Source organism: Homo sapiens, chromosome 3 (assembly GCF_000001405.40).
Source record: "Homo sapiens chromosome 3, GRCh38.p14 Primary Assembly".
Classification (NCBI taxonomy): Eukaryota; Metazoa; Chordata; class Mammalia; order Primates; family Hominidae; genus Homo; species Homo sapiens.
In genome coordinates, this window is record NC_000003.12 from 193,816,004 (window position 1) to 193,824,223 (window position 8,220).

The 8,220-nt window shown below is 42.2% G+C and overlaps 2 annotated features.

Moving 5' to 3' along the window:
• Positions 2,800–3,428: an enhancer, noted in NCBI's record as "H3K4me1 hESC enhancer chr3:193536592-193537220 (GRCh37/hg19 assembly coordinates)". NCBI's record gives its function as "activates a minimal SCP1, AML or CMV promoter by ChIP-STARR-seq in primed H9 embryonic stem cells {active_cell/tissue: H9 hESC(primed)}" and the evidence as "EXISTENCE:reporter gene assay evidence [ECO:0000049][PMID:30033119]".
• Positions 3,429–4,056: an enhancer, noted in NCBI's record as "H3K4me1 hESC enhancer chr3:193537221-193537848 (GRCh37/hg19 assembly coordinates)". NCBI's record gives its function as "activates a minimal SCP1, AML or CMV promoter by ChIP-STARR-seq in primed H9 embryonic stem cells {active_cell/tissue: H9 hESC(primed)}" and the evidence as "EXISTENCE:reporter gene assay evidence [ECO:0000049][PMID:30033119]".

The following is an 8,220-nucleotide window of genomic DNA, read 5'->3' on the forward strand; positions in this document are numbered from 1 at the left end:
CATTTTTGTACTCTTGGTAGCAACTATTAAAGCACTATCCTTCAAGGCATAAGTGTTCAAGGGGCAGTTCTAAAATGTGTCGTGATACACATCATGAAAATAACACTGGACTTGGAATCAGGACGCGTGGGTTCTCTCTCTGCTCTGCCACAGCTCACTCAGCTTAGGCTTATCATGTTTCCTCCCCAGGCCTTATATTTTCCCGTCTAGAAAATAAGGGTGTTGGTGGCCGGGCTGTGTGGCTCACGCCTGTAATCTTTGGGAGACCGAGGCGGGTGGATCACCTGAGGTCTGGAGTTCGAGACCAGCCTGACCAAGATGGAGAAACTCCATCTCTACTAAAAATACAAAATTAGCTGGGCGTGGTGGTGCATGCCTGTAATCCCAGCTACTTGGGAGGCTGAGGCAGGAGAATCGCTTGAACCCAGGAGGCAGAGGTGTGGTGAGCCGAGATAGTGCCATTGCACTCCAGCCTGGGCAACAAGAGCAAACTCTGTCTCAGAAAAAAAAAAAAAAAAAAAAAAGAAAAAAGAAAAGAAAAGAAACGAAAAGAAAAGAAAAGGGTGTTGGGCCGACAGTTTCCAAAGTTCCATTCGGATCTGAAGGTCTGTGGTTTATGACTCCTGCAAGCTAGTTTTCCTTATCTGTCCATCTTTCTCAACCCTAGGTACTCAGTACAATGACCCAGGAAGTTTTACCAAAAAATACCAGAGCCCAGGCCCTACCCCCAGAGATTCTGCTTCAGTTCTTCTGAGGCGTGGCCCAAGCCAAAGCTCCCCAGTGACTCCGAAGTGCAGCCGCGGCTGAGAAGCACTGTTAGAGTTGGACGGCAGCTCTTGACTCCTCCCACTCCTCACCCACATCCAGGGACAATGGAGCCGGACAGATGCCTGGCTGCAAAAGCAGAACAGCTGTAGGCAAGGCTAGACTCTGGGATCCTGGGGCGGGGGTCTCCTGCTCACTCTCCAGGAAGATGGGAATAAAGAGACCCAATTTCCTGGCCTCAGGCTCCTCGCCTCCCTATCCATCTTCCCATCCTCCAGCTGAGAGCCTAGGGGGAGGAGGAGGGAGAGCAGGCAGCTGCCTAATCTGGGGAGATTTTCTCAGGGGTGGGGGAGGCTGACTTTTGGCTCCAGTCTTCCTCCGCCCTCACAGCTGGAGCAGCCAGAGTGAGCGCGCTGGGGCTGGGATCTCAGCTGCTGGCAGTTGTTCCCATGTTCTGTCCCTGACAGCTGCAAATCTGCTGACGTGTTGCATGTGTGTGTGTCCACATGCGAGCGTGGACTCCAGCAGAACAAATAAGAATAATAAGCAGAACAAATAAGAGGTAGAATGTGGAGCCCAGGAGGTTGCCTGTTCTTCCTAGACTTCAAGTTACCCCTGAAGCCTTCCCTGACCCCCAGCTTCCTCCAGGCTGTAGCTCCCACGAGCCCCTCGTGCTTCCCCTCATTGAGAGTCCATGCTAGCAGCGGATTCGATGATTCCAATAGCTACATTTACTGAGCGGGTCCTGGGTGCCAGGCATTCTCCTAAGCAGGGTAGATTAATGGTTCTATTTAACCCTCAGAATAACCTTATGAAGCAAGCATTATGATTATTTCTATTTTATAGATGAGGAAACCAAGAAAAGATATGTTAACATTTAATCCAAGATCACACAGCTGCGAAGATTCAAAGTCAGGCAGCCTGGTGCCAAAACGTGAGCTCTTTAACACGTTGCTATTCTGCCTGCTGTTGGTGATTGATCACAGGTGAAGGCCTGTTCCAATAAATGAGGTCTCTCAGCCCTGACATTCTAACAGTGGTGTTGCTTGTAGAGACACACATTTTATACTTTGAGTTTTTTTTGTTGTTGTTGTTTAGATCAGAGTTTATCTTGGACAATATTGGCTGAGTTCATAAGCCAAAGTCAGAAGCACCTGTCATCATCCTGTGGGGCTCTGCTTCTGGGTGGACTGTAGGAGAAGTCCTGAGAGGAGAATGGTCTGGGCAGCATTGCCAGAACTGGGCTACAAAACAAGATTGTAAAACCACTGAACAAGAGAACCCCCGATGGTGGTGCAGAATGTGTGGGGCCTGCACCCTCCAGCTTGCAAAGGCTTCTGTTCCCTGGACACCTGAGGCCTTCGCCCAACAGTAGTGTTGGGTTGGGTTGAAATATCCACATGCCGGCCGAGCGCAGTGGCTCATGCCTGTAATCCCAGCACTTTGGGAGGCCAAGGTGGGCGGATCACGAGATAAGGATATCGAGACCATCCTGGCTAACAAGGTGAAACCCCGTCTGTAGTAAAAATACAAAAAATGAGCCGGGCGTGGTGGCAGGCACCTGTAGTCCCAGCTACTCGGGAGGCTGAGGCAGGAGAACGGCGTGAACCTGGGAGGTGGAGCTTGCAGTGAGCCGAGATTGAGCCACTGCACTCCAGCCTGGGTGACAGAGTGAGACTCCATCTCAAAAAAAAAAAAAACAAAAAAAAAAACAAAACGGAAATATCAACATGCCATTGCTTTCAGTGATGGCACAGGTCCTGCCTTTCTAAGATGGTGAGAGGCTCGGGGGCAGGGAGGGGCAGAATACAGCTTGTAACCTGATGTCCATAAAGCTTTTTGGTCCTGGGGTGTTTTTTGCTGAGCATACTGACCGAATATGTGCATGACTGTAGGGATGGGGCATCTATGAGACGGAAGTAACCATGAGAACAGCTATTAAACAAATGAAAACAGGTCGGCCATTCACTGCAGAGTTCAACTGATGCCTTCCCGGAAATCTCATTTGAACCCCCAACTTGCTTTTATGAGTTTAATCCTCTTCATCCCCTCTCCTTAGCCAAGTTTCATTCCCATTTGTTTAATTACCAGTTGTATGAACAAGTCCTTCCATTTTCTCTTACTAGGTTTTACATTTTCATTCATTGACACATTATAAAAATTAAAGTTCTTTACTAGAGAGAGGTGAATTCTGCTTCAGAAGAGTGAGTTTTTATGGGGTGTCAAAATTTAATGTGGATAAGAATGCACCATGGAATCACCAGGGTGTCTGGTTAAAATGCCGATGTGGCTTCCATCGGTCTGGGAGGTGGCCTAGGATTTTACGTTTCCAAGAAGCTTCCAGGTGATGACAATGTTCCTGGTCCACAGACCACACGTCGAGGTGCAAGGTTGTAGAGAGCCTGTGAGACAAACCACATTAACCTGAAGACTAGAGACCAAATAGCCATTCAAGCAATGCATCTACACTCTAAACAGCCCTATGGGCAGGTAAGTACTGCAGCCTCATCCCCGTGGGGAGCCTGGACCAGCCTCACTCGGCTTCTCTTTCAAATGAGCCCATCTGTTGACAGGCTGCACCTGCATTCACATCTCTGCACCTGCATCTCTGCTCAGGTACATTTTTGTCCTAAATCCCTGAAGCCAGGCTTTGTAAAAAGCCTGAGCTGGCTAAAGAATTGCTAGGAAGAGGAGGCGAGATGGTGTGCCAGGGGCATAGCGAGGAACGGGGGACTGGTGGGCCATGCCGCGCAGTGCCTGGATGGCCATGGTTGCCGAGTTTTGAGTGCAGGAGTAATATAATCTGATTTTTACTTTAAGAGGTATTCTCTGACTTTCGTTAGAATGGACTGGAAAATGGGACGGGGGAATAGAAACCGGAAGGGGAGGTAAGTGGCTGTTGAAGTTCCAGGTGGGAGAAGGTGGCTGGACTGAGGAAGGCAGCAGCAGAGCTGAAGAAATGCATGTCTAGAACTTCCCTGTTTATACTCGGGCCTCTTGAGAACAGGGAATGTGCTTTACCCATTTGCCTGCCTTCTTCAGTCAAGCTTCATGAGTGGTAACACCCAGCAGCTGTAATTCTCTCAGTTCCCACTCGCATATTCATCTGCAGCAGCCTGGTTCTGCCCTGCAGTTCTATTGGAACTGCTCTGTCAGAGACCACCTGGGATCCTCACAGAGTAAAATAACCTCATTTAAAAATTCTGTCTCGCCACTTCTATTCAACATGGTATGGGGGTCCTAGCCGGTTTAATAAGTCATGCAAAAAACAAGGCATACACCTTGGAACAGAAGAAATAAAACCATTTTTTTGTGAACAATGTGATCATATATGTAGAAAATCCTAAGGAATTTTCAAAAAGCTACTAGAACTGATAAATGAATTCGACAGTGTCTCAGAATATAAGGTTAATATGTAGAAATCAATTGTATTCCTATATGCCGGCAAAGAACAACCCAAAAAATAAAACTTCAGAAATTCCATTGACAGTAGCATAAAAATATTTAGGAATAAATTTAATAAAAGATATTTTAGACTTATACACTGAAAACTACAACATATTGCTGAGAGAAATTAAAGAATACCTGAATAAACAGAGAGATATGCCATGTTATTGCTTGGAGGTCTCAATGTTTTTAATTAAAGATGGTAATTATTTTTAAATTAATCTATATATTTAATGAAATCACAATAAAAATCCCAGTAGACATTTTTGTAGGAATTGACAAGCTGATCCTAAAATTCATTTGAAAAGACAAATAACCTAGATTAAACAGAACAATTAAAAAAATTTTTTTTAATTGTGGTAAAATACACACGAAATTTACCAACTTAATAATTTTTAAGCTTACAGTTTAGCAATGTTAAGTATATTATCATTGGCCTGCAGCGAATCTCCAGAACTTCTCATCTTCCCAAACTATGTTTAATAAACTTCATTTTATTTTATTTTTTGAGACAGAGTCTTACTCTATTGCCCAGGCTGGAGTGCAGTGGCATGATCTCAGCTCACTGCAACATTCACTTCCCGGGCTCAAGCAATCCTCCCACCTCAGCCTCCTGAGTAGCTGGGACTACAGGCATGCACCATCATGCCCAGCTAATTTTTGTACTTTTTTGTAGAGACGGGGTTTTGCCATGTTGCCCAGGCTGGTCTCCTGGGCTCAAGGAATCCGCCTGCCTCCTGGGCTCAAGAGATCTGCAGAGATCTACCCACCTCAGCCTCCCAAAGCACTGGGATTATAGGTGTAAGCCACCACACCCAGCCTAAATTCAACATCCTTTAACTTCCCATTCCCCTCGACTCTCAACTCCTGGCAACCATCATTCTAATTTCTGTCTCTAAGGAAATGACAACTCTAGTTACCTCACATAAGTGGAATTATACATTTGTCTTTTTGTGATGGACTTACTTCATTTCACATGACCTCGATATTTAACCACATTGTAGTATGTGTCAAAATTTCCTTCTTTTTATAGTCCACTGTGTGTGTATGTATGTATGTATGTATGTATGTGTATGTATGTATGTATGTATGTGTATACATACCACATTTTGTTTTTTCATTTGTAGATGGACACTTGAGTTGCCTCCACCCTTTGGCTATTGTGAATAATGCTGCTATGTACATGGGTATACAAATATCTCTTCCAGCCCCTTTGATTCTTTTGGGTATATATGCAGAAGTAGAATTGCTGAGTCATATGGTAATTCTATTTCTAATACGTGAGGAAACACCATACTATTTTTCAAAGTAGCTGCATCATTTAATTTTCCACCAACAGTATACAAGGGATCTAGTTTCTCTATATCCTCACTGACATGTTATTATGATTATTTTTGATAGTAGCCATCCTAATGGGTGTGAGGTGGTAGCTCAGTGAGGTTCTGATTTGCATTTCTTTACTGGTTAGTTACATTTGAGCATCTTTAATGTGCTTATTGGACATTTGTATATCTTCTTTGGAAAAACATCTATTTGTCCTGTGACACAAAACAATTTTTTTAAATAATCAAGTTAACAATTTATGCTACCTGATTATAAGACTTACTATAAAACTCAGTAATTAACAGTGTGGTATTAGATAACAATGAATCAATAGAGTGGAATTGAGAGTCTAGAAATAGATCCTTACTTTTATATGGTCAAATAATTTTGATAAAGATACCAGGGTAATTCAATAGGGAAAAACATAGTCTATTTTTATAAGTGATCTTGAAATCACTGAATAGTTATAAAAGATATTACTCTTGACCCTTTCCTTATACCATATACAAAAATTAATTCAAAATGGATTACAGGACTAAAACTATAAAACTTCTAGGAGAAAGTGAAGAAATTTTTTTTTAATAATTTTGGGTTAAGCAGATTCCTTAGGAAGCAGAAAATACAAATTATAAAAGAAAAAAACTTAGTCATTAGGCTTCATCGAAATTTAAAAATTTGTTCAGTGACAGGAAATGAAAGGTCACGGATTGGGAGAAAATATTTGCAAACTATCTGATTTGAATTAAGAATATATAAAGAACCCTTATAACTTAATAGCAAGAGAAACTACCCAATTAAAAGATTGGCAAAAGATATGAACAAATGTTTCACCAAAGAAGATATATGAATAGTCCAAAAGCACATAAAAAATGTTCAACACCACTGGTATTAGGGCAATACAAATTAAAATTAAAACCACAATAAGATCTAATTATATGCCTGCTAGGAAAATTAAAAAACAAAACAAAACAATATGGAGTGTTGATAAAGGCATAGAGAAACTGGGATCCTTGTAAGTTGCTAGTGGAAAGGTAAAATGGTAGAGCCTTTTTGCAAAAGTTTGGCATTTTCCTTTAAAAGTAAACACGTGCTTGCCATGCAACCCAGCAATTCTGCCCCTAGGTATTCACCCAAGAGAAATGAAAATCTGTGTCCTACCAAAGAGTTGTAAGTCAATATCCGTTGCAGGATTATTCATCATAACACTAAATGGAAGCAATGGCAATGTCTGTCAGTTGATGAATGGTTAAACAAAATGTGGTCTATTCATACAGTGAAAAACTATGCTCCAGAAGAAAGAAATATGTTACAAATTCAGGCAACAACATGAAGAAATCTCAAAAACAGGTTAAAAGAAAGAAGGCAGACACAAAGGACTACATGATTCCATTTGTATGAAATTTCTAAAAATGGCAAAACTCTAATGATAAAAGCATATCTGTGGTTGTCTGGGGCTGGTCTTGGGATCAGGGATCAACGGCAAAGTGGTGTGAGGGAAATTTTTGTGGCAATGAAAATGTTTTAAAACTTGAGTGTGGTAGTGGTTACAGGACTGTATAAATTCACTAAAACTCAGTGACCCATATGCTTCAAATGAATGAATTTTATGGCATGTAATTTATGCCACAGTAAATTGGTTTAGAAAAGTCTTTTAATACATGAAACACCTACTAAAACAAATGAATTAAAAAAAAAAACCCCCACAAAACTCTTGGCTTTGAATGACTGTGGTTCTGCCCTTTCCTGGTTCTCCTCATGCCTCCGGGATGAGTTGCAGTCTCTTTCATGGAACGCTCTCTTCTGCTAACCCGGTAATGAGTGTTGCCTCTCAGGATCCAGCCTTTGGCCACTGCTTTCTAATGCCAGAGCTCCTCTCTGCATCATTTCACTCATACTCCTGCTTTTCACAATGATCAAGTGACTGTCAGGGGTATGTTCCTATCCTGACCTCTTCTCTGAGCTTCAGACTCATTGATTCAGGTGGTTTTGTTTTTGTTAGTGTTTTTTTTTTTTTTCCTTCAGGATATCATTAGCTGGTGCCTGTGATAATGGACACCACATACTCCATTGATACAACATTTGACTCATCTTTCTCCTCCTTTACCTTCTCTTCCTCTCACATCCTTCATCTGTCTTAGTGTCACCACCATCCACACAAACATTCAAGCTAGAAATGTGAGGGTCAAATATATATCAATCACCAGACCTGGGTTTTGTTTTGTTTTGTTTTTTTTGAGACGGAGTCTCACTCTGTCGCCAGGCTGGAGTGCAGTGGCGCGATCTCGGCTCACTGCAACCTCCGCCTCCTAGGTTCAAGCGATTCTCGTGCCTCAGTATCCTGAGTAGCTGGGATTACAGGCATGCACTGCCACCGTGTCCAGCTAATTTCTGTATTTTCAGTAGAGGCGGGTTTTCACCATGTTGGCCAGGCTGGTCTCAAACTCCTGACTTTGTGATCTGCCCACCTCCGCTTCCCAAAGTGCTGGGATTACAGGTGTGAGCCACCATGCCAGACCCAGACCTGGTTTTTATTTTATTTTTGTTTTAAAATAAAGTTTACATAGAAAAAAATGCTCAGGTTTTAATGTTTAGTATGATTAATTTTGACAATCATACACATTCATGTCATAATCCTCAAAATAAAATATAAGACATTTCTATTCTTTGAGGAAGTTCCCTCATGCC